Raw genomic sequence first — 25,544 nt, forward strand, 5'->3', positions numbered from 1 at the left:
ACCACCTGACCCATCACCCTCTGCAGAGGCTGGGATCCGCCTCCCCAGCATGCAAGGAGCCTGTAGAAGGCACCAGGGGCTGCGTCTTCTCCAGCCTGGGTGGCCTTGGCCCCAGATCCCCCATGGGTCTCTCTGACGGGCCAGCATACGGTGACCTGCTTCCAACAAGGACACCTGTGGCAGCTTCAGATCCTTATTTAAAAGACATTAATGCCAATTTATTATAAAAATGTACATGTTTAGTATGTATTTTACTTCAAAGAATACTGAAAGTAAAAAAAAAAAAAAATTGAAGAAAAGTTACCCCAAATCCCTGCAGCCAACATCTTCTACATCCAGGCCCAGTGGAAGGATAAAGACAGGATTCCAGGCACGACTCCGGAAGGAAAAAGGGAGGAGGTGGAGATGGCATACACGACCGTCAGTGAGATGCTCTGCCAGGTGCAGCGGCTCATGCCTGTAATCCCAGCACTTTTAGAGGCTGAAGCAGGAAGATCGCTTGAGGCCAGAAGTTCGAGACCAGCCCAGGCAACATAGCAAGTCCCCATCTATACAAAAAATTTAATGGCTGGGGGCGGTGGCTCATGCCTGTAATCCCAGCACTTTGGGAGGCTAAGGCGGACGGATCACCTGAGGTCAGGAGTTCGAGACCAGGCTGGCCAACATGGAGAAACCTCTCTACTAAAGACACAAAAATTAGCCGGGCGTGGTGGCTGTAACCCCAGCTACTTGGGAGGCTAGGGCAGGAGAATTGTTTGAACCCGGGATGCAGAGGTTGCAGTGAGCCGAGATTGTGCCACTGCACTCCAGGCTGGGCGACAGAGCGAGACCCTGTCTCAAAAAAAACCAAGCAAAAAAATGAAACTATTATTAAGGATGCTGCTGGTGGGGTGACATGCATCTCCCCTTGAGGGCTGGCTCCAGAAGGCTCTCAGAGCCCCGGTGTGTGAGAGGAGTCTCTCCCCTGAGGCCCACCTCCCCTGCCGTCCACCTCCCCTGGTCTCCAGCACCCAGGACTCCTCCACCACTTCATTGCTTTCACATGGTCAGCCTGTGTGATCTCTCCTCCTCACCAGGAGCCTTCCTTCAGGCTGGCTCTGCCCATCCTGGGGCTGCACGGTGCCTGTCCTGCTCCCTCTGACCGGGGGTCTCGTGCTCAGGAAGGGCTCATCCGCTCCTGTGTGCTCCTGTCTTCACTGTCACTTGTGAATGGCACCCGCTCAGCCCCTGCTGAAGCCCTCCTGTCCAGAAAGCAGGAGGAAATCTCTGGAAGGTCCTGAAACGTCCAGCTTTTTCTTTCCTTCCACGTCTCTCTCTGGCCCTGTCGTGGTTCTTGTTTCCTGTTTAGCGTTGTTCTGAGTAAAGGAAAATTAAAATTGCAAGTTGTTCTGGAATTTCACGTTCGTCTCCGCGAAGTACGGCTGGAATTCTGGATGCAAATCACCACGATTGCAAACTCACACGCCCATCGCAGCTCATCGCACCTGGTTCTTGCCCCAAGAGCGGAAACGCCGCACGAAACTAATTCCACTGTTTCTCACGCCCCAGCCTTCCCACCGGCCACTGATGAGTAAGGGCGAACCCGGAGGAAAAGGGGCTTCTGCCTGCTTGTCCTGTCGCTGTCGTGTCTTTTACCTGTGAATCGAGTTCTGGTTCCGGGGGGAAGTGTGGCCTCCGTGGGCGCACACGCCTGCCTGTGCACACTTGCTTGGAGGCCGAGCTCCAGGGTTGGGGCCCTCCGCTGAAGAATGACCCGAGAGTTGGCCACGGCCGGGTCCGGAGCCCGTGGATGTACCGCCTCACGTGACAGAAGGGCCTCTGCAGATGGGATTAAGTCACGGGCCTCGAGATGGGAGATCCTCCTGGAGCATCCGGCAGGTTCACGCCGTCAGGGTCCTTCTAGGGAGAGGCCAGAGGTCCCCATCCGGTGGGAAGAAGCTGCACGGCCAGCTCAGAAGAGGGAAGAGGGAGCCACAAGCCAAGGCAGGTGGCCTCCAGGAGCTGGAAAAGGCAAGAGAAGGAGGCCCCCAGGCCTCCAGAGGGAGCGGGGCCCTGCCCAGGCCTGGATCCAGCCTGAGACACCTCAAACTCCCGACTCCAGAAACGGGAGAGAGGAGACAGGTGTCGTTTTAGCTGCTAAGTTTGCGGTCATTTGTTACGGGAGCCCCAGGAAACTCAGTGGGTCCATTGCAAGCCTGGAGCACAGGGACGGGGAGGCCAAGGACAGCAGGGAGCCCGATGCTTGCTCCTCCTCAGCCCAGACTCCACACGCCCTCCGGCACCACTTACAAAACACCGGGGGAGGAGAGGATTATCAGGAGGATTTGGAATTTCGGGATGGCAAGAGCAGGGCGCTTGACCAAGCGCAGTGCCCATGGCAGCCGCCGGGAGTCCACCTTCTCATCAGAGCCCCACATCACTCCTCCCGGGCTCTGGCCCTGAGTGTGTCTGGGAAGATAGAGCTGGTTCAGGCCTGCCGGTGTATGCACACATGCAGACACACACTGTGTACACGTGGACACACACACCATGCACAAATGTGCACACAGGTATCATGCACACATGTACGGTGCACACACAGTGCCCTCGACCCCGTGGCTGCCGTGCCACTGGAGGGACCTCGGCACCAGCCCATCTGAGGCCCCTCCTTTCCCACAGAGGGAGCGAGAGAATGGCTCCAACCTGGCCTTCATGTTCCGCCTGCCGTTCGCCGCCGGCCGCGTCTTCAGCATCAGCATGTTGGACACACTGCTCTACCAGGTCAGCGGGGAAGCGGCAGCAGGAGGGTGGCGCCTGGGTGGGACCCCCGTCATGCCCTCAGCTCTTCAGCCTGGTCCCTGTTCTGAATGATAGGACTCCCTCTGAATGACCTTCCCTGGATTCCAAGGAGACCTCTGGGCCCTGTCCTTGCCCCAGGGATTTCTGGGCCCTTTTTGACCTATGGGTGCCTGGCAAGGGAGTTTTCTTAGAAAAGGCCTCCCAGAACTCTGCCTGTGGGTCATGTGGTGCTTGGGGACCTGGTGGTTCTGTGTGTGTGTATGCATGAGGGGTGGCGAGCCCGTGGCCGGTGGGGTATGGACCTGTGTCCCACGCCCGTGCCCGCGTGCCTCACTGTGGCTCCCTCCCTCCCTCCCTCCCTCCCTCCCTCCCTCCCTCCCTCCCTGGCCAGTCCTTCGTGAAGGACTACATGATCACCATCACCCGGCTGCTGCTGGGCCTGGACACCACGCCGGGCTCGGGGTACCTCTGTGCCGTAAGTGCCCCTGGCTGCGCTGGGCTGGGGGCGTGCTGGGCTGTCCAAGTGGGTGGATGGGCACCTGCCCCTGATTCACGGTGGCCAGGAGGCTCTGGGTGCTGCCACCTGCCCCAGCCAACTCAGGGTTCCCACCCTGCAGATGAAAATCACCGAGGGCGACCTGTGGATCCGCACGTACGGCCGCCTCTTCCAGAAGCTCTGCTCCTCCAGCGCCGAGATCCCCATTGGCATCTACCGGACAGAGAGCCACGTCTTCTCCACCTCGGAGGTTCTGGGGCAGCCTGGGGGCTGGGACTGTGGCAGCCCCTGTCCTGTGTGACCCACAGCATCCCCACCTTCCGGGGGCTGGGACTGTGGCAGCCCCTGTCCTGTGTGACCCACAGCATCCCCACCTTCAGTGTCAGGGACCTGGGCTAGATCAGCTTTGCTATTGCTGGCAGCTCCTTCCGTCTGGTCCGTGTGCCCACGTGTAGCGCTTCCAGCTGGAGCAGCCATGACCCCTACCGGGGGCAGAGAGGCTCAGGGGAGTCTTCAGGAAGAATACGGGCAGCCCCTGTGCTGCAGTCCACACAGCAGCAGGCACCGTGCCCACCAGCCCTAAGCATGTTCCGTGCAGACCCCAGGCTGAGGCGGCGTGGGGGGCAGGGGTGCGCCCACAGGTCCCAGACTGCGCCTGTTTCCTTTGCAGCCCCACGACCTCAGAGCCCAGGTAAGCAACCCCTCCGTGCCCACGCAGCTTCTGCGGAGCACCAGAACATCGCAGCTTCACATGGAGAAGCCTGCCAGGCCCCACCCACCCACCCACCCACAGGGCCCTGGGAAAGCCGAGGCAGGAGCGGGTCCCACGGATGTGTCGGCCCCAGCACGGCTCAGAGAAGGCTGTTGACACTCACTCCCTCCTGCACTGGTGGTGGGGAAGCTGAGGCCTGGGGGGAGTAGCCTGTGAGTTTGGACACCAGGTGCACCCCCGCCCCCTCCCAGGCCCCACCAAGGCAGGCAGCCCCCATGCCCATCTGGCCTGACCAGCCCCCAGCCTCCCAGGCCTTTCTGAAGGTGCCACCCAGGTGGGATGCCTACCTCTTCCCAGCACCCCACGACCCACAGGCTCTGGCACCCCACGTTCCCCAGGTTCGGGGCCTCCAAAGGGTGTGTTTGCAAGAGGGATCAGGGCTCATCTGCAGATGGAGAAATTGACACGCAGAGGGGGTGACCTCTCAGGGCAAGGCCAGGATGTGCTGGGGTCCAGATGGGTCCCAGGCCGGACCCACAGAAATAAGGGCTCAGAGAGGCGAAGGGAGCTGCCCTCAGCAGCCTGGCGAATCCCTTGACCAGGCCCGGGCAGGGTGGGTGGCCCGGCGATCTGTGCTCAGGAGGAAACCAGGCACATTCTTTCCAGAGGAGGAAGGCACATGCACCCTGGGGTCTGTCGTCGTCCTCTTCCCTAACACCCCCAGCTGCTCCCACGCAGGCCCCAAGCTGCAGAGCCCACACCTCTTCCTAAGCCCCTGCCCCAAAGCCCGCGACCCTCCCGGCAGCCTCACCCCTCCCCGCCCTGCCCTGCCCTGCCCTGCCCAGTCCCAGATCTCGGTGAACGTGGAGGACTGTGAGGACACACGGGAAGTGAAGGGGCCCTGGGGCTCCCGCGCTGGCACCGGAGGCAGCTCCCAGGGCCGCCACACGGGCGGCGGTGACCCCGCAGAGCACCCACTGCTACGGCGCAAGAGCCTGCAGTGGGCCCGGAGGCTGAGCCGCAAGGCGCCCAAGCAGGCAGGCCGGGCGGCGGCCGCGGAGTGGATCAGCCAGCAGCGCCTCAGCCTGTACCGGCGCTCTGAGCGCCAGGAGCTCTCCGAGCTGGTGAAGAACCGCATGAAGCACCTGGGGCTGCCCACCACCGGCTACGGTAAGGGCACACGGCGCGGGTGGGGGCCGGACGGACGGACTGGGCCAGGGTCGGGCCACAGCCAAGAACAGTCGGCCACGGCGTCCCGGGGCCCGGGCCGTCCTCCTGTCTGTCATCTGTCTGTCTGTCAGCCTTTCTGGCCACCCTCTGCCTGCCTCTACTGTGGGGCCAGCTGTGGGCACCACCACGGCCCAGCAGAGGCCCCGTGCAGAGGAGGGAAGTGGCCATGGCCCACCCTGGTGCTGGGAGGCCACAGGACCCTTGGGCATCCCTGGTGTGAGCCCCGTAGGGAGGTGCTCGCTTCCACTGCTCTGGGGCCTCAGTTTCCCTCTCTGCCAAATTAGAGACAGGAGCTGGCTGAGCCCTTTGGCCAGGGGAGGCAGCTGTGGGGTGGAGAGGGCCAGGCTGGGCTCCCCAAGTCGAGGGCATCAGCTAGAGTTGGGCCAGCCAGCTGCAGCCAGGCCTGCTGGACAGCGGATACCCAGGGTCCCTGAGTTCTCGCAGAGAACAAGACTGGTGGGGACCCCCTCCCAGAGCCCCCAGCCCTCCCAGCAGCCAGGGTAGGGGGGAGACTTTGGGGGAACAGTTGGGGGAAAGGCCCATGCCAGGACATGCCTCTGTCCACCATGGGCCTGTTGCCACTCCCACGGCACAGCCCCCTCCTGCCGCTTCAGGGAGCCCGGCGTCCGTCTTCAGCAACAGATCCGTGCAGCCCCCTCTCTCTGCGCCTTGTGGTGGGAAGTGTGCTTGGGCTTCGGGGCCCTACATGCCCTGCCTGGCGTGGAGAGAAGCTCATCCCCTCCCTCACTCTAGAGATGCTACCTCCGTTGATGAAGCCATGGGCCCCAGCTCCCCAGCACCGGGCCGCTACCCAGTGACACCCACCCCTGAGCCGGGTCGAGGCTCCACCTTCCCTTTGTTCCATCTCAGGGACTTGCCTGATGCTCAGGGCTGCCTCTGTCCCGTCGGAGTGCCCCGTCTCCCAACCCTGCTTCCTGCGTCTGTCACCTGGGTCGGGGTCTTGAGTCCCCTGAGCAGAGTCAGGAGCTCACGGCTGGCCCAGGAGCTGCTCACGGGTGACTGGGCTGGGCTGGCCTGCGGGCCCGAAGGAGACTCAGAGGCCAGGGTTTGGGGAACAGGTGGCCTGTGAAGACCTTTCCCGGCCCCCAGCCCTGTGGGCGCTGGGGAAGGTGTCCCCCTGTCCCCGCCTTGAAGCTTCCCTCCATCCCCACAGTGTCCCTGTCCCGGGAGGGACTTCACGCCCTTTCAGGTGGGGCTCACGAGGCTGAGGGGGGTGCCCAGCATTCATGTTTGTGGTCCCCTGTGACTGCTGGCAGAGGATGATCCCGCCCGGTCTGGCCACCCCCAGAGCTGGTGCCTGCCTCTGCGACCGCTGCCTGCCCCCAGAGCTTGGCAAGGAAGGAGCAACTGCCTTTCTGGTGACCGACTCGCTTCTGGTGGCCGGCCTCCCGTGCAGCTGCCCCTGCACCCGCCCACTGTGCCGGCCGCCCGCACCTCGCTTGCTGATATTCTCTCTCTCTCTCTTTCTGTCTGTGCCTCTTTCTGTGTGTTCTGTAGAGGACGTAGCAAATTTAACAGCCAGTGATGTCATGAATCGGGTAAACCTGGGATATTTGCAAGGTAATTCTGCCCTGGCGGGTGCCGACCACCGCACAACGGGGCTCGCCAACCCTTCACCGCCGGCAGCCTTGCTGCGCCATCCCGGCCAGGCAGGTGGACAGGAGCTGTGAGAGCACGTCCCAGGTGTCAGCCCAGGCGGCCCTGTTGGGCAAGGCCTCGCATGCCGACAGAGTGTCCCCTGGCTGGGCGTTGAGGACGGGCCTGAGGCTGAGGTCTGGGGCTTGTGCTAGTCAAGGTGCTGTTGGCCGCCAGGCAGAGTGGCGACTGCCCAGCTCTCGGGCTCACCCTGGTGCTGCTTCTCCTGCTTTGCTGTTTACGATGAGCTCTGATGTGACCGGTGGGCCACCCTGGCCTACAGCCAGCCCTTCCCTGTGGCCGGCCCCACAAGCAGTCTGAGGACCCTAAGCTCCTCTGCTCTCAGGAAGCACCCAGAGGGTCCCGAGCCAGGGCCCCGGGAGGAGCTCGGTGAAGCCTGGGCTGGATGCAGGGGTGGGGACTCCAAGCCACGAGGAGTAGGCAGGCTTTATGGCTGCCCAGGCCAGGTGGATGGTGACCTTCGTCCCCCAGCTGGGGCTCCACGAGGGGATTCTTCCTGCTCGGCTCGAGCAGAGCCGCTCCACACCCCGTTTCCTCCAAGAACATGCTGTGCCCCGTCAGTGCTCAGCAGAGTCCGGGCCAGGGTGCTCCCAGGGGTCCTGGCAGCCTCAGGGGAGCTCAGAGCCTGCCCCCGCTGCCACACCTCCCTACAGGGTAACCCAGGAGCTTGAAGGGCCTCCTGAGCCAGGACGGGTGTTAGCTCGGGAGGGACCTGTTTGCCACAATGCCCTTGCACCCGGAGGCAGGGCCAGGCCTGGGGCAGCCACAGAAGTAAAGCGTCGGCCTCTCCCGGCTCTGTGCTTTTCCCCACGATGGCGCTCATGGAAGACCCTCGCTCTGCCGGGCACTGTGGTGCTCGGACCTGCAGCTAGCGGCCTTCATGAGTGGGATGCCTGCGTCGCCCGCTCCCCTCACCCGCCAAAGCTTCCTGCGGCTCCCACTGCAGCTCCAGGGCAGGCATGGCCACAGCGGGCTTGGGGGGCGAGGGCTCACAGGACTCCCGCGGCAGGCATTTCCTGGGCTCGGCCTACATGCCCGGGAGGGTGACGGTGCCGGGGTTCTGGGGCTGGGGAGCTGCACCCCCATGTTTAGATTCAAGCGGAGCCTAGGCCAAGAGGCAGAACAGGAAGAGTCACACCCTTTGCGGGGAGGGCGGGCAGCATCCTGGGGCCCCTCCAGCGTGCAGCCCCCATCCCACACACACAGCGGGAGGAGGCACCCCAGCCCCGATACTCACACAAATCCCCTCTTCACGCCTTCCTCACAGCTGCCGTGGGGGGAGGCACTAGTTATCCCCAGTTTATAGAGAAGGAAACTGAGGCTCGGGTGGCGGTAGCTCTGGCCTGGCGTGGGGGATTCAGGCGGGAGTGACCGTGGATGCCAAGAGCCAGGAGGTCTGGAAGCCTCTGGGGCCTGCAGGGTTAGGAAGCGGGTTGGGGGGCGAGCAGAGCTACCACTGAGGCCTGGAGTAAAGGTCGGAGGGTCTGGGTGGAGGAGTCAGGTAGCCCTGGGGACCAGGGGCGAGGTGGCCCTGCCCCAGGACATGCACCAGAAGAGCCAAAGCCAGCCCCTGCCCCACCCCAGGCCCTCAGGCACACCTGCTGCCAGCCTTCACCAAGCACCGTGGACACGCGAAGCTAGTCCTCTGCGACCATCCTGGGCAGCCAGGACCAGTGCCATGTGACTGACCACAACCCAGGCCCTGGCACTGCAGCTGGGGCCTGGCATCCCCACCCGCCCCCTAGCCCAGCCCCAAGAAACACAAAGCCCAGCCTGGCTCAGCCCAGTGAGCTCTGCTTACTTCAGAAGCGTGTGGTCCGGGCACCCCAGCGGGAGAAGCTGGGGCCTGGGGGCCAGTCTGTGCCTGCCGGAGTGAAATGAGCTGGTGGCCCCTTGTTCTCGGTGTCCCACTGGGTGCTCGTCACAAAGCCAGTCAGGCAGGGGGGCAGGGTCCCAAGAACCTACTAGAGCTGCCCTCACCACCCACTCCCTGTGCCACCTGCCATGCGGCCACCCCAGAAGCGTGTGTGGGCACGAGGGTGGGGAGGGTGTGTCTCCCTGCACAGCCTCAGCATGAGGCCCCTGGGCCTCCTCCAAAGGCCTGGGGAAGACCCCACCATGGGTTTTGGGAAAAGAGCAAAACAGCTGTGAGGGGCAGGTGTCAGGCCGTCCCATCCCGCAGGTGTGGACACAGGAGCTGGCACCAAATGACCTGCCGCCGTGTGCGAAAGGCCTGAAGCAGAGCTGGTCTCCTGGCCGGAGCTGCCCTGGTCGCCCCCAAGTCCTAGCCTGTGCCCCCGCCACCCTGGCAGCAGCTGTGCTCACACTGTGGGAACTCCAAAGCCCCCACTGCAGAGGGACCAGCATGGCCCCCACCTGGCTGGCCAGCAGCCTCCCCGACTTTTCCCTTCTCAGGGACCAGGGCAGGGCTACCCCAAGGGGAGAGGACGGGCAGAGAGGAGGGAATGGCAGCAGCCAGGGTGGAGGCTCCCTGGGGTCCCCCGTCCTGGGTCACCTTTGTTCTCTGTCCTTGGAGTCCTGGAACAGGAATCCAGGAGCTTCCCGTAGACACCATCAGATGGATAAACTGAGGCCACAGACCCTTTCCAGCCAGTGAACCCAGGGCCACTGCTGGGATGGTGGCCTCTCCCTCCCTGTGCTTGGCAGGGCTACCCTGCCGGCCCCATGGAGACTGTGAGATGATGGGGGGGCTGTCTCTCCAGGACCGTTCTCACCCTGTGGGACACATGCCCACGCCCACCCCATGAGCCGGACGCCAGGCTGTCTCCCATGAGGGGCAGAGGCCATGTTCTCGGAGGGATGAGCTGCGGGGTGGGGGTGCTCTGGGCTGATGCCACTCAGGACTTCAGTCTGAAGCAAAGGGCTGAGCACAGCGAGTGGGAATGGCCTGTCCAGGCCCGGGGACAGCGGCAGCTGCAGGGCCCTGAGGGAGGGACAGGGCTGAGCAGCCTCTGGAGGCGGGGGTGGGGGTGTGTGGATGTGGAGGACGGCATGCAGGTGTGTATATGAGTGAGTGTGCAGGGGTCTGTGGATACCATAGGCATGGGTTGCTATGAAGATCTGTGCAGACACACAAATGTGTGTGGAATACAGAGGTGAATCTGCAGGTGTGTGCAGGTGTAGATGAAGGCATGCATGCATGTGAGGTGAACAGACACGTCCCGGTGTCTGCAGGCTGACGTACGTGGCAGGTGTGCGCTGGTGTGTGCAGGTGTGCTCAGTGCCTCTGCTCAGGGCCACCCCTTTGCTGCGATGCCACCTAGCACCAGAGGTGGGTGCGGGTCAGAGCTGGCTCCCAGCTGCCCTCCTGGCTGTCCCCTGCCCTGTGTGGAGATGGGACAGGTGTCGGTCAGGGATGGGCCCTGGCTGGGCTCACCAGGATGAGGTGCTGGAGCAGAATGGTCAGGAAGGCCGGAAAGACTCAGCTCATCCTGGAGCCCCCACACCTCTGGGCCCCTGCAGAGCTGGGAGGGGCAGGGCTGGGGGGGTGACGTCTGCCCGGCTGTGTCCTTTGCAGACGAGATGAACGACCACCAGAACACCCTCTCCTACGTCCTCATCAACCCTCCGCCCGACACGAGGCTGGAGCCCAGTGACATTGTGTGAGTAGCACCTGTGGGCTGTGTGGAGACCCCCCCTGAGCACCAGGTGGGCACTGGGGAGATGAGGCCACAGGCACCACAGTGGGGCCGCTCAGCAGAGGGCTGAGCAGGGGCTGCCCGGCCCACATCCACTCCAGGGTCCTCTGTGCCCTCCCGCAGCTATCTCATCCGCTCCGACCCCCTGGCTCACGTGGCCAGCAGCTCCCAGAGCCGGAAGAGCAGCTGCAGCCACAAGCTGTCGTCCTGCAACCCCGAGACTCGCGACGAGACACAGCTCTGAGCCAGCCCTGCACGGAGCTCAGGCCACCAAGCCCGGGGTCCTCAGGAAGGACGTGGAGGAGCGTGTGAGGACACGGTGGCACTAGCGTGACCCTGGGGATGGCACACTCTACTCACCATGGCTCCTGGGACTCCACCCTGGAAAGGAGCCCCTCATGCGGGGGGAGGGCCAGCTCACCCCTGGGCACCTGCAGGCTAGTGAGGAGAGTTTTTTAACCTATTTTTACACGTCGATGCAGTCCACTTCTCTTTACACAGATGTACCGCAACTCGTGACCAGGGCTGGCTGGGAGGGCAACGCAGGGACTGGACGCCCTACAGGGCCGAGCCCAGGCTGTGCTGGAGGGTGGGGCTGGGGTGCATGGGGAGGGGAGCAGAACCCAGAACCCAGGAGCCCCGCGTGGGCCACACCCAACTCAGAGCCGGCCTGAGCGTTCACGGCCAGGCAGCCTCGCTTCCTTGCAGCCAAGGGCTGGGGGCCAGGGCTGCTGTTCTGCACTCTGGGGTGGGTGAGGGGGACCCTGGGCTGTTTGCTGTCCCAAGCCCCTTCTGGAAGTTAGAAGCAGCAAAGGGCCCGGGGAAGCCGGGCATGTGAGAGGGGTGCGTCCCCAGGTCCCCCAGAGGGCCCTGTCGCCGAGGACCTTTCTGAAGGAAGCAGAAGACGCCATTTCCTCTACTTCACACTGAACTGTCCCAGCCACTGCATCTAGGGGGCATTGGGCGGAAGATGGTGCATTTCCATGGACCATTTTACACTTACCTTTTAAAGCAAAGCCTCATTTTCTAAACCCCTGACTTGTGAAGCACAATTCAGCCTCCGGGCTGGGCCACGTGGAGAGAGAGGATCTTCTCAGCAAGGCGAGATCCCGGGCGGCGGCTGACATCAGGAGCGCCACCCTGCGTCCTTTGCTGCTGGTTCCTTACTGGTTTGTACGGTCAGCGCTGGAAACTTCTATTAAATGGATGCATTCTGGAGGCATGAAGTTACAAGTCAAGTCGCCCTGCTCGTGTTTCCAAGGCTCTCACCCCTCCCAGCCACCCCACTTTAAGGGTTACAAACACCTGCTGGGGTCCCCACCCCAACCCCATAGGCAAGCCCCCATTCCCCAGCCAGGCCAGGACAGTCCTTCCAAAACTCGGGAACCAAATTGTATTTGGCTACTGGTGACTGGATCCTGGTAGCCAGGAAACCTGCCTGGTGGTGGGGGTCCCAGAGTCCAGGAGGGCTGTCTGGTGAGCTGCCCATCAGCCTCACCCCTGCAGCCAGGCATGTCCCTGGGGTGGGCACAGAGACCCCAGGCTCTGCCCGCAGTGGCACAGAACTCATCTGAGGCCAGTGGCTGCTGGGGATCCCCTACACTGGGGGTCAGGGCTGCCCCAGGTGGGGATGTGTGTGCACCTCACCACGTTCACTTCAGGGTACCCCAAGAGGCTGAAGGGGAAGGACCAAAAGGCCGAGGTGCAGCCCCTCCCCGGTGTCAGGGCAGACAACACAGCAGCTGCTGGAGGGGCCGGCCCTGGCCACACAGACTAGCTAGTCCCTTACTCCCGGCCTGTCTGGAACCCTCCTGCTCAGAAGGTGCCCACTAGCCCTCTGTGGGGGACAGAGCCAGACATGGGTGGTCAGGGAGAGGCTGTGTGGATTCAGGGGACCAGAAAGTAAGTCCCAGGACCTTGATGGAGCGGCAGGGATTGATGTTGGGCTAGGGTGGCCAGAGCCTGTCCCAGCAGGGCTGGGGTCTATCACGTTCCTGGGATCCAAGCAGCGAGCACGCCCTGCCCCGCAGTCACCCCGCCCCGCAGTCGCCCTGCAGCTGGAAGGCCCAAGTCTGCCTCACCTGGGTGGCCTCTCATGTCCCCCACACCCTGGCCCCCAGGCGAGGGGGGCTGCACAGCACCTGCAGGGAGGAGAAGGGAGAGAAAAGCCGGTCTGGCTGCTGGGATGGGAGGGCCACAGTTCCAGCAGTGGCAGGGGAAGCTGTAGCCCCTGGAGCCCCACACTGGAAGAGCTGGCCTGCAGGAGGCACCATGGGGGAGTCGCATGACTTATTCGGGATTGACTTGCGATGTGGATGGTGTTCCCGGAGTCCCCTGTGGCCACTCCACCACCATGAGGCCGGGAGGCATCTTAGCCTTTGAGCCTCTCTCCAGGGGTGAGCGGAGCCCCCCAAAGAGGGCTGAAGGCTTGCTGCCCAAGAGGGGCTGGGTGAGCACTTGGGGCCTCTGAGAACATCAGTGGTCCGTTCCCTCCTGCACACTGGTGGCAAGTGGCAGCATTTTTTCATAATCTCCAGTAATGAGGCCACTTCGGGTCCAGCCCTGGACATCCGAGGAGGAGGCGGGCAGTCCCTGCCCCTTCACTAACCGCAGAGGATGCCAGCTCTAGGCCCCCTGCTCCGCCTGGAGCTCATGCGGGCAGCCGTGGACACAGGTGGCACCCAGCGCCCAGCGGCCTGTGAATCCTCCCGTGGGCAAAGCTGGGAGCCAGGGGCTGGAACCAGGCAGGTCAGTGACTGTGAGATGCCAGCTGCCAGCCCAAGAAAAGCTGCCTGCAGCATCTGGAAACTTCTGTGCTCTCCTTGGCCTCTGTGTTCTTCATCTCCAGGTTTAGGGAGCACCCGGGTGCCTCTCTGCTTGTCCCGAGCCCACTCACCAACAGCCCCAGCTTGCACAGTCATGACATCAGGAAGGTGGGTCCCTGCTCCCAGCCGTCCTCGTCCACCATCACTTCTCCCAGCCTCGTGTCCTGCTGACCCATAAAAGGTCCCCCTGCAAAGTACACCAAGTGAAGTAGGATCTGAGCAAAGGTTGAGGGACTGAATTCCCTAAGAAGTCATCACTGCCTAGAATAAGCGAAAAGAATTTTTTTTAATGTTTTACGGTAGAATTATTTGAAACATACAAAATGAGTGAGACACCTGCTATTTTCCTTATTCCTGTTTTTTGTTTGTTTTTATTTTCCTTATACCTAATTCATCTAACAGAAAACTGGGCAGGGCGCAGTGTCTCACACCTGTAATCCCAGCACTTTGGGAGGCCAAGGCAGGTGGACTGCTTGAGCCCAGGAGTTGAGTTTAAGATCAGCGTGGGCAACATGATGAACCCTGACTGTATCAAAAAGTACAAAAAAAAAAATAGCTAGACGTGGTGGCATGTGCATACAGTCCCAGGTACCCAAGAGGCTGAGGAAGGAGGATCACCTGAGCTGGGGAGGTTGAGGCTGCCGTGAGCTGAGATGGCACCACTGCACTCCAGCCTGGGTGGCAGAGAGAGACCCTGTCTCAAACAAAACAAACAAACAAAAAAGAAAAAGAAAATAAAACTGTTTGCTCAAAATCAGAATACCAACAGTGTATTGGGTGATTATCGCTTATGTGTGAGTGAAATGTAAGAGCAACGTTAAAAGGGACAGGTGGGAGGAAGCGGGGGCCATCAGTTACAAGTTACCATGTGACCTGAGAAGCAGTACAGTGTAACTTACAGGTGGATCTGGATGAGCTGCAAACTCTAGGGCAACCACTAAAATATATATATACTTATTTTTCTTTTTATTATTTTTTTCTATATATGGAAGTATAATTGATACGCTACAAAAGACAAGACTATGGAATCATATAAAATGCTTAACTGAAACCAGAGAAAGCAGAAAAGAAAGGCAGATAGAAACTAAGACCAAGGGCAACAAATAGAAAACAGTTACAAATATGGTAGATGATAATCCCACGAACCCAGTCATCACATTCAATGTACATGAATTAGTCTAAATACACCAATTAAAATACAGAGACTGGCCGGGCGCGGTGGCTCACACCTCTAATCCCAGCACTCTGGGAGGCCGAGGCGGGCGGATGACCTGAGGTCAGGAGTTTGAGAACAGCCTGGCCAACATGTGAAACCCCAACTCTACTAAAATTACAGAAACTAGCCAGGCGTGGTGTTGTGTGTGTGTGCCTGTAATCCCAGCTACTCCGGAGGCTGAGGCACGAGAATCACTTGAACCCAGGAGGAGGAGGCTGCAGTGAGCCAAGATCGTGCCACTGCACTCCAGCCTGGATGACAGAGCAAGACTTCATCTCCAAAAAAAAAAAAAAAAAAAAAAAGATGGAGACCGATAGTGGATTTGTTAAGTCCCCAAGTTATGGAGAGTCACATGACCAGCACGTCAGCCCCAGCTTCAGCAGTCCTCAGCCCTGTCTGTCCTTCTCCACCTCCCACACACACCTCAAGCCTGGATGTGTGTCCAGGCTGGAGGGTTTTAAAGTGACCCCTAGATGGCACATGGTTTTACAGCCGGCAGTGTGGCCAGCCAGTTCCCCGCAGCTCCAGCTCCTGAAGAGCCCCTGGGTACAGGAAGGTGTCCCGCTCAGCAAGCAGATGCTCGCCGCTGGAGAGGTCCAACCTGGTCAGGTGCTCAGGCTGCAAAGGGCACCCACGGCAGGTGGCACAGCTGGTTGGAAGCCAGGAAGAGCTCCTCCAGGCAGGCACCTGCTTGAAGGTGCCAGGTGACAGGTGAGCGATGCAGTTGCCTGAGGGTGCATGTACCTCAGTGGGGAAACTGAGGCACGGCCCCTTCATGGCCATGCCGCCTGCCAGGTGTCCAGGCATTGGCTACCATGATCAGCCCCTGCAGTGCCCCTGGGTCCCAGAAAGCTGCCGTCTCTGCCCCACAGCTGCCTGGATGGTTGTGTGTGCGGGCCAGGCTCCAGAGGCCCCACCTTGCATGCATGGAAGGCACAGAGGACCTGTGAGGGGCACTGAGGCACGGCCGCTGCAGGGCAAGGGCTTCTCCTTGAGCAGAAGAGTCAGGCAGGACTGAGGACAGAGGATGCTCAGAGAGCAGCCGGCCCAGCCCCTGCACCTGCCCGGAGCCTCGCTGCTCCACTTGCCCTGGCATTCCCGAAAGCAGGCTGCAGGGGAGCCACAGGGCACCCGGGGCAGAGTCTCACGGAGCCCCCAACTCACACATTCGATCTACTGCTGCGACTCCCAGCCCGCCCCAGAGGACAGCAGCCAGGAGCCCTCCTGACCTCCGAGGAGCCCAGATCTCCAGGGGACTGACAGTGGCTTGACCTCCTGTCTGCTGAGCACCGCCGAGCCTCAGCGCCAACCCCGGAGCTCTGCGCTCTCCCAGGATGCCAGCTCCCATCCAGCTGTTCCTGGGCCCCTGCCCTCACTCAGCCCGCCCTCTGGCACCACCTCCACACGTGAGCTCACTCTCTTTCTCTGTTCCCCTCTGAGCAGCTGAGCTTCTCCAGCCTTCCCCCATGCCGTCCTCTTCCTCACCCCACCCCCAGTGCCCCCCAAAACACACCCTGAGTCAGGCTGGCTCCTGGCCACTGAACATGAAGGGTGCTGCTGGTTCTCACCTCACTTGACCTCCACTGGACACTCACCCCACCCGCCCTCCGAAGAGTCTGTCTTGGCCCTCCTGATGGTCCTCACGCAGCCCCAGACTACTGAGGTTTGCCGGTGCTGACCCGTCTACCAGCTCCCCCAGAAGTCCATCCACACTCAAGTCCGGGAACTCGTCAGCCCACTCCACATTCCAAGTGGCTGTCCTGGGGGTACCTCAGACTCCACGTGTCCAAGCCGATCCATCTGTCACACCCTCAAGACCCCATGTCCTCCCTCAGTGTCCCCCACCCACACCCTGAGGCCACCCGCCGTCTCTCACACGGGCACTAGGGGGCGCCTCTGCCCTCTTTCCTCTGCTTCCCAAGCAGCCTCCGCCCTCTCCAGCATCACCAGGAAACGCTCCCTTTCCTGTGCCTTGGGCCCTTTGCCTGTTCTCTGTAACCAGAGCTGACCTTCAAATCCACCCTATCACTGTCTAAAATCCTGGGGTGCAGCGTGACGAAGCAGCCCTAAATTCTGAGCGTGACGAAGCAGCCCTAAATTCTGAGAGCGGCTGTGAGTTCATGCTGGGGTGGGCCTTGGGGGCTTGGCCACAGCGCCTGGCACCCAGGATGCTCATGAAAGGCACTGATGGCTGTTTGGGACCAGGCATTCTTCCAGGCATGTGTCAAACACGGCCACCCCTGGAAGGCCCTGGGAACAGCCTGACCCTGGCCGTGCTCCCGGCCCTGAGTTCTTTGCTGCAGCAAACCAGCCCTGTAGAGCAGTGCATGTGGCAGGCAGGACAGGTCTGGAGGAAGCAGCCCACGGTGGCAGCTCCACACACCAAAACACCAGCTCCGCGCTGCAGTCTCCGGTACGCACCTGCCCAGGCACCATGCATTGTTCCCACCTCTCACCACCCTCCACCCGCCCTGCTCGGGCCCTGCAGGGTGGTGGACAAGGCTGCCTGGTCTCAACCTCTTCTGAGGCTGTGCCTCCTCCTCCCTGAGGACACCCTCCTGCCTCCTCCTGTCCCCTGGGGGCCCGCACGCTCCAGTGTCTCGCCTCCAATGTTCCATCCTTAAGTCGTGAGCCGCACCTCCTCTCTCCACCACTCCCCCATGGCACTGCGGCCTCGGTCACATCTCTCTACTGCCCATGAACTTCAACACCCCCCAGATGCCATGAATTAATGCAAGCCACCCCTGGCTGGGACCCTTGCCTCCTTGTCTCCAGCCCTGCACCGCACCCAACAGCACACCCAGCCCTATTCCAGAACGAATGAGTGAATGAATGAGCAGATGGATAAATGAATGAACAGATGAGCGAGTGGAGGAGTACGTGAGTGCATGGTCATTCTACTCAAAATACAAAGTCCCAAAGGCCAGATGGCAGCTTGTGGCCAGGGTCCTTCACAGTGTGGCCTCCATTTTTCCTTAAAGTCTGGTCCCCCATCCCCCACCACCACCTCCCAGCCCAAGAAGGCCACCACTCTAATAAGAGAGCAGTGAGCAGCAGGCGCTGGCCGTGATTCCTGAACCACCTGCCCGTGGCCACCTCCCTCGGATGGCAGCTGACATGGTCTCGCTCAGCCCATCATGTTGCCACTTAGCCACCACACTGGCCCAGACTTCCAGTGATGGTGCTGGCACTCGGGGAACAAGAGCAGTAGGACTCACTGGTCACTTGGCCCAGAAGGCCCACCCACTGCCCTGATCATCAGCTCTGAGACCTCCCATTCCTGCATCCTTCCACAACCATCACCTGCCCAGACCAGCTCCAGGCTCAAGAGCCTGAGCTCCTCAGCATCGCACATTTCTTGGCTTCTGCAAAGACTTCTTCATCACCTCCCAGCCAACCCTGGTCAATTCTTTGGGTCTGGAAAAGGTCCTGCCCAGTCCACCTGCCTGACCTTCCTCCACCAGCCTGCAAAGCTCGGACACACAGAGCTGTGTGCTCAGCGCCGCGCATCCACCCCACGGCACCTTACTCCACGGGTGCTTCCGGGTACACACTTAGGGACAGTGCGGCCTCACCACACAGGAGAAACACAGACTTACCATGTGCCACAGATCCAGGGACGTGACGCCCAAAGTCCTGGGTAAGTGAAGCAGGAGCACTGGCCTTTGCGACTCCTTCCATCTCTAGAAATCTCGTTATAAAATTATTAAGATGAGTGAGAGTCACCGGCAACGTTTATTATTTTGCTTCATGACTAACATATGCGACTCTATTCCTTGGATGGCTTTCAAATATTTTACTTTTTATGTTTTTGAGACAGGGTCTAGCTCTGCTGCCCAGACTGTAGTGCAGTGGTGGATTCACGGCTCACGACAGCCCCAACCTGCTGGGCTTGAATGATCCTCCTACCTCAGCCTCCCGAGTAGCTGGGACTACAAGTTAAGCATCACCAAGCCCGGCTAATTTTTGTATTTTTGGTAGAGATGGGGTTTTGCCATGTTGCCCAGACTGGTCTCCAATTCCTGGACTCAAGCAATCCTCCCACCTCAGTCTCTCAAAGTGCTGGGATTACAGGTTGAATATTTTATAATAAAAAATAGAAATCCTGAGAGGTCCACCTACCTTTGGCAATGTCAGCTCTTCAAGCAGTGGACGCACTGCCCACGTGTGACCTCAACAGTGCCCCCCAAACCCACAGGTGGACATCCTATCCCTGGCGACCTCTGTCATGGGCTGAACGGTGTCCCCCAAACCCACAGGTGGACGTCCTATCCCTGGCGACCTCTGTCATGGGCTGAACGGTGTCCCCCAAACCCACAGGTGGACATCCTATCCCTGGTGACCTCTGTTATGGGCTGAACGGTGTCCCCCAAACCCACAGGTGGATGTCCATTCCCTGAGGACGTCAGAATGTGATTGTCTTTGGAGACAGGGCCTTTAAAGAGGTAATTAAGTTAAAAAGAGGTCACCGGGATGGGCCCTAATCCAATCTGACTGGTGTCCTTACAAGAAAAGGAAATTAGGCCAGGTATGGTGGCTCACGCCTGTATATCCCAGCACTTTCGGAGGCCGAGGCGGGCAGATCACAAGATCAGGAGATGGAGACCATCCTGGCTAACACAGTGAAACCCCGTCTCTACTAAAAATACAAAATATTAGCCGGGCGTGGTGGCAGGCGCCTGTAGTCCCAGCTCCTCGGGAGGCTGAGGCAGGAGAATGGTGTGAACCCAGGAGGCGGAGCTTGAAGTGAGCCGAGATCACGCCACTGCACTCCAACCTGGGCGAAAGAGCGAGACTCCCTCTCAAAAAAAAAAAAAAGTAGTATTAGACCTCTACAAGAAAAATTATCAAATGTTTTGCAAGCTTTAAGAGTTAAATAATGAAGCCACACCAAGTTCATGGATCAATACTATAAAGATGTCAAATCTCTCTGACCTCAAGACAATCCCAAACCAAATCTCAATTACTGGGGGTTGGGGAGGGGAGGGGAGGGGAGGGGAGGGGAGGGGAGGGGAGGCTGGGTAGAACCTAACATGCAAAGGGCCAAAAATATCCAAAACGCTCTTAGCGGAAGCAGCTGGTTTACCAGAGAGCGAGTCTCATTATCAAGCGACAGGAATCAGGATCCTGCCTGTGTATTGCACAAATAGACAACTAGACTGGATTCGCTTCCTGTTGCTGCTGTAACAAACTTAGTGACTTCAACCACCACAAACTTATTAACAGCTCCATAGACCAGAAGTCGGACAAACACCTGAGTTGAGATCAAGGTCATCAGCAGAGCTCCCAGCTTTCTGGAGACTCTCCAGAGAATCTAGAAGCCTTTCCAGCTTCTAGAGGGCATCTGCATTCCTTGGCTCACGGCCCCTCCCTCCATCTGCAAAACCAGCAGTCTGCAGCTCTGTGCTCTCTTCCGTCGGCCCGGTCTTGCTCTGTCCTCTGCACCCATCCCACACTTGAGACACCCTTGTGATGACATGGGGCTCCCCTAACAGTCTATGCTGATCTCCCATCTCAAGATCATCTGATTCGCAACCCGAATTCCATCTTCAACCTTGATTCCCCTTCACTGTGTTAACAAAACACCCAGAGATCAGAATATGGACATCTCTGAGGGTGTAGGGTGGGCACTGCTCTGCTCACCAGAGACCAACGGACTGGAAGTACTGAAACAAAACCACAGCAAAGCTGGCACTGCCAAACAGCAGAGGAAGTATGGCGTGTCCAAGAAGTGGCTCTGGGACCATTAGAGATTCTCATAGAAAAAAAAATGATACGGACTTCCACCTCATTCACAAGCCGTAAGAGCCAAGTCCAGGTGCGTTATAGGCTGAAATACAAACGTCAAAGGTTTACAAGGTAGTTTCCATGGCAGGGCAAGAGTTTTTTATTTTTTTGTTGGTTTTTTGTTTTGTTTTGAGATGGAGTCTTAATCTGTCACCGAGGATGGAGTGCAGTGGCACTGTGTCAGCTCACTGCAACCTCCGTCTCCTGGGTTCAAGCAATTCTCCTGCCTCAGCCTCCTGAGTAGCTGGGATTACAGGCGCCCACCACCACGCCCAGCTAGTTTTTATATTTTTAGTAGAGATGGGGGTTTCACCATGTTAGCCAGGCTGGTCTCAAACTCCTGACCTCAGGTGATCCACCCGCCTCGGCCTCCCAAAGTGCTGGGATTACAGGCGTGAGCCACCACGCCCGGCTTAGATTTCTGAAACGCTAATAACATTGACAATCTGGCCACAAAATCTTAAAAACTTCTGTGTATCCACAAACAAAAAAAATTGAAAAGTCACAGAATGGAAGATATTTATACCTTCTGTATATTGTCTTTCAAAAATGTATCTTCTATAAATTAGGAAAAGATGACTCAGGAGAAAAACAGGCAAAAAGCTTCTACAGACACTTCACAGGAGGAAACTCCGTGACCAAAAAAAGATGTAAATAGGCTCCACTTCTGTTGCCATCAAGAAACTGCCAATCGGCTGGGCGCGGTGGCTCACACCTGTAATCCCAGCACTTTGGGAGGCCGAGGTGGGTGGATCACGAGGTCAGGAGTTCAAGACCAGCCAGGCCAACATAGTGAAATGCTGTCTCTACTAAAAATACAAAAATTAGCCGGGCATGGTGGCGTGCACCTGTAATCCCAGCAACTCAGGAGGCTGAGGCAGGAGAAGCACTTGAACCCGGGAGGTGGAGGTTGCAGTGAGCCGAGATCGTGCCACTGCACTCCAGCCTGGGTGACAGAGTGAGACTGTCTTAAAAAAAAAAATGCCAATCGAAGGCACTGGGCAGCGTGTGGTGTGTCTCAAATGCCAACGCCACACAGAGGAGCCCCAGCTTGGCACGTCTGCTGCTCACAAAAGGAGAGGCGCCCTGTCCTCTTGATCACTCAAAGAAGTTCTATGAATCAACAGGAAAAAAGCCCACCCAATTAACACAACCTCATTAAAAGTGGGCCAGGGAAGTGAACGGAAATCTCCCAGAAGCAGCAGCGTGTTAGGCCCATCCCCATTTGAAAACACAAGTCAACCTCCCTAGTGCCCGGGAAAGGAACAGAGAAAGCAGTGACAACCCACATCACACCCACCAGTCCAGGAAAAGTCCAATCCTGGGGCCCTGAGAATCCCACACGGGCCCAGCACATCCCAGCCCCCGGCCCGTGCTCCCAGGACACAGGCCTGGGGCTGGAGACAGGCTTAGCAGCGCAGTGGCGGTGCCGGGAGGGGCCTGGGACAGGGCAAGCTCTGGGCAGATACTCCCCCACCTGCTGAGACCCGAGCACGTCCAGGCTTGCTCCATAAGCCATGCGGGGAGGACCCCGAGTCATCCTCAGGCCGTCGACTCCACCCCAGCTGGGCAGACAGCTCCTCTCCTCCTGCCACTTTCTCAAATAGCCGCCCCACCCCCGTGAGCTCCACTGAGGCCCAGACATACACCCCCATCAGTGCCGTACACACTTCAACATCTTTGAAAGCAGACCATCTTAACATCAACAGCGTGGCATAGTTTGATGGGCAGCATTTCTTGGTGGCACAAAATGATGATGTATCTTAAAATGAAGGACACCTTAGATTCCGTGAAATACCAAGTTGTCAGTGGATGCTGCTATCCTCATCTGCCTGTGCACTGGCCGGCCTGTAAGCTCCAGGCGGGCAGGGCTGGTAAGCACTGGCGCAAGGTGCACCTGCTTACGCGGTGACTCCGGTGTGGGGTGCAGGGTGTGGAGGTGGGCGTAGTGTCCGGAGATACCAACAGCCATGTGCTGTGGGGAAGGGGCAGGGCAGGGTGGGCAGTTTTCTGTTCTGTTCTCTCCTGTGCATTTCTGAACTCTTTGCACAGCTGATACTTTCAAGGAAAGCATATATATATAGCAAGGGCTGTGTATGCAATCAATTCACTTCCAGTGCAGGGCAAGGAAATTAACTCCAAAGGAGAGACTGCAGCCCAGAGCTTCCTGCAGGGCACCCACCTGGATATGTTCCGGGAAGAGGGGCACCGGCCCCCACCACAGCCCCAGCCAGGCTTGTGGGAAACCCTCCTCACCCCTTGCCTCGCACTTCAGAATGAGGCCTTTCCTTTGTACCCTAATCCTCCGAGGCTGAAATGCTACTTCTGTGGGGCTTCTAAAACAAGATCTACATTACCAGTTTTTATTTGAAAGCACAGAAGACAGGCCTGCAGCTTCTCCATAAATGGAGGAAACCCCATTTGCTTCTGAATTCTCAGACAAAAAAGAAGATTCAGACCAGGCTTGGTGGCTCACACCTGTAATCCCAGCACTTTGGGAGGCCGAGGTGGGCGTATCACCTGAGGTCAGGAGTTTGAGACCTGCCTGGCCAACATGGTGAAAACCCTGTCTCTACCAAAAATGCAAAAATTAGTCAGGCGTGGTGGCGTGTGCCTGTAATCCCAGCTACTAGGGAGGCTGAGGCAGGAGAATCACTTGAACCTGGGAGGCAGAGGTTGTAGTGAGCTGAGATCGCACCACTGCACTCCAGCCTAGGCGACAGAGTGACAGTCCATCTCAAAAAGAAAAAAAAAAAGCAGATTCATCTTCAAAACAATAAACGGACCCTCCACCACCCACTTTCCAGCTGGGTCCACACCTCGCCCAAGTGCTCTGCAGGGAGGGTGTGGCCGGTGCTGTCTCTAACAGACAGAGTGTGGGGAGGTGACCCTCAGCCTAACCACCAATCGTCTGCTGTCGCCCCCCTCCCAGCACCAGGTCGAAGTCTGCACACTCACAAGACTGCTCCACCCACAACAGGCTCCCGGGGGATGAGGTGCCAAACACAAGAGTGTGTTCACAGGCGGTGTTCGTGACACGGCTGCTCTACAGGAACTGCCAGCCTGGCACGCCATGGGCTCTGCCCTGTGTACCTGCCCGCCACCCTCAGAACAGTCCTCGCGATGTGGTTACCATTGGGCTTGACCCCTGTTCCTCGCTCAACACGGCTCCCATGCCTGCCACGGGCCCCCCAGCCCTCCCAAGCCTCCTCCTGAAGAAGTTAGTGGGAGGCTGACTGGAATAGCCCTCTCCAGTGTGCCCAGCCCAGGGCTGGGACTCTTAACCACAAGGCTCAGGGTGCCACCGCCTCACCCCATGTCTGGCCTGGTGTGTGTACCAGGGCCCTCCAGAGAGCGCTCCCGAGCCACTTGCAGCCCACAGGCCCTCGCTGCGCCTGGAAGGCAGGGTTCAGGCCGGGAGCCCCATGGTCTCCACCATTCAGACACAGCCTTTGCACCAAATGACTTGAAGTTTTACAGCTTAGTTTAAAAACCCGATTTGTAGCTAAAATAGTCACACATTTTTAAGTGGTGATCTCATTTCTTTTCTTTCCCTAACAGATAGGCCCACAGTTCTTATAAGGCTAATTTTGTCTGACTACTCCGTGGCTACCATTCCTTCCTGAAAAGCGCTGCCCCTTCCCTTGAGAACATGGTGGCACTCTTACAGCAAGGAGGCTTCCAGGCACAGACGCTCCACCAAGACCCGGGCCCAGGGCAGCATCTTCACCACGCACTGACTGTCCCGTGTGCCGGCCACTGGCACTCACCCAGCACCCACAGGGAAGATGGCCTGGCCTCTGCCCACTGGCCCACCGCTGCTCTCTGACCCGCACTGCAGAGCTCAGGGTGGTCGCACCCTCCCCTTCCCCTTCCACCGCCACCGCCACCACATCACCACATCCTGTGGGCCGCAGGGGACGCTGAGGTACATAACACAGGCTTCCTCTATTGAAGGAGCAAGGGCGGTGTCGCTGACCTCACCCCAACAGGAGGCTTCACCAGCATTTACCTACACCGCCTGGTGCAGCCAACACGATCTAAGAGCCAACCACAGCCCACCAAGGAAAAGGCCCTGCTGTGCTGCCTGCGGGTGCGAATGGGTCCCCGCGTCCCCTCACCTGGCTGTGTGCCACCTGGGGGCTACACTGTCCACCTCTGGCCCTTGAAGACTGTAATGGAAGAACGACAGCAAAAGTCATCCTCAAGGAAAATAAACACCAAATGCCCAGGCAACCAGCAGGTCTGCCTCCAGGACCGAGTCTGCAGCCAGCCAGCAGCCGGGAGTCTCTTCCCCAGGAATGACAACGCTTGTGCCCCACCAAGTTGACTTCCTGGGATGAGGAAACACTACCCACGCAACCACACGGCAACCTGCAAGCTGAACAAGAGTCCGACTTGGAGAAACATACACAGAAATAATGCCAATACCGGAACAGAAACCCGCGTGCCCACCATACACCCAACACTCCGCCTTCCCAGCACCTCTAACGGGCCACAGGGACTGTCCAGCTGGCCCACTTGTACTGGTAGTTAAATGTCTACTAAAATAGGGCAAAAATATGTATCCATAAATATAATTTAGAAGCAAAATATTATGGGGGGAACTTTGGTGACAAATATTGGGAACCACTGATTTTAAAACCAGAACAAGCACTTTGTCAAAAGTTTATTGAGATGGATGCTCGGGATCTGCTTTTCTCTAAGTATGTTCTACTTTAAATTTTAAAAGAATATGGATTGCATTATAATGAAAACAAAAATTTACCACCTGGCATAAAAGGAAATAAAAAAAGGTGTCCTGGAAAAAACGGAAATTAGAGAGATTTATCAGTTCAACTAAAAAAATCACTTTTTAAAAAACCCAAGATTTTTTTTTTTTTTTTGAGACAGTCTCGCTCTGTCACCCAGGCTGGAGTGTAGTGGCGCGATCTCGGCTCACTGCAACCTCCGCCTCCCAGGTTCAAGTGATTCTCCTGCCCCAGCCTCCTGAGTAGCTGGGACCACAGGCGCGCGCCACCACGCCCGGCTAATTTTTGTATTTTTAACGGAGATGGGGTTTCATTATTTTGGCCAGGCTGGTCTCAAACTCCTGACCTGTCAGGTAATCTGCCCACCTCAGCCTCCCAAAGTGCTGGGATTAGAGACATGAGGCACCACACTC

General features: G+C 58.6%; 1 protein-coding gene and 1 long non-coding RNA gene across 12 annotated transcripts in view, besides 2 other annotated features; one reads left to right on the plus strand and one right to left on the minus strand.

Moving 5' to 3' along the window:
- KCNT1 (potassium sodium-activated channel subfamily T member 1) overlaps nt 1–14,137 on the plus strand; it is a 93,318-nt gene extending 79,181 nt beyond the window's left edge. For 8 of the 11 annotated variants that reach the window (NM_001272003.2, XM_011518880.2, XM_024447618.2 and 5 more), the window contains 8 exons: nt 2,659–2,760; nt 3,170–3,253; nt 3,396–3,524; nt 3,945–3,965; nt 4,832–5,156; nt 6,735–6,797; nt 10,432–10,516; nt 10,676–14,137. In NM_001272003.2, coding sequence (NP_001258932.1) covers nt 2,659–2,760; nt 3,170–3,253; nt 3,396–3,524; nt 3,945–3,965; nt 4,832–5,156; nt 6,735–6,797; nt 10,432–10,516; nt 10,676–10,796 — 930 coding nt within the window. In that variant the 3' untranslated portion in view covers nt 10,797–14,137. The remainder of the gene's footprint in view (nt 1–2,658; nt 2,761–3,169; nt 3,254–3,395; nt 3,525–3,944; nt 3,966–4,831; nt 5,157–6,734; nt 6,798–10,431; nt 10,517–10,675) is intronic. The other 3 variants (NM_020822.3, XM_011518878.4, XM_011518879.4) reach the window with 1 other exon arrangement.
- Nucleotides 2,578–3,078: an enhancer, noted in NCBI's record as "H3K4me1 hESC enhancer chr9:138675789-138676289 (GRCh37/hg19 assembly coordinates)". NCBI's record gives its function as "activates a minimal SCP1, AML or CMV promoter by ChIP-STARR-seq in primed H9 embryonic stem cells {active_cell/tissue: H9 hESC(primed)}" and the evidence as "EXISTENCE:reporter gene assay evidence [ECO:0000049][PMID:30033119]".
- LOC107987140 (uncharacterized) lies at nt 6,564–10,676 on the minus strand. Its single transcript, XR_007061851.1, has 3 exons — nt 8,695–10,676; nt 8,131–8,306; nt 6,564–7,998 (listed from the first exon to the last, which is right to left on the minus strand). It is a non-coding gene; the product is annotated as an uncharacterized LOC107987140 (long non-coding RNA).
- Nucleotides 21,869–22,535: an enhancer, noted in NCBI's record as "H3K4me1 hESC enhancer chr9:138695080-138695746 (GRCh37/hg19 assembly coordinates)". NCBI's record gives its function as "activates a minimal SCP1, AML or CMV promoter by ChIP-STARR-seq in naive H9 embryonic stem cells {active_cell/tissue: H9 hESC(naive)}" and the evidence as "EXISTENCE:reporter gene assay evidence [ECO:0000049][PMID:30033119]".

This window comes from Homo sapiens, chromosome 9 (assembly GCF_000001405.40).
Source record: "Homo sapiens chromosome 9, GRCh38.p14 Primary Assembly".
In the NCBI taxonomy this organism is placed as follows: Eukaryota; Metazoa; Chordata; class Mammalia; order Primates; family Hominidae; genus Homo; species Homo sapiens.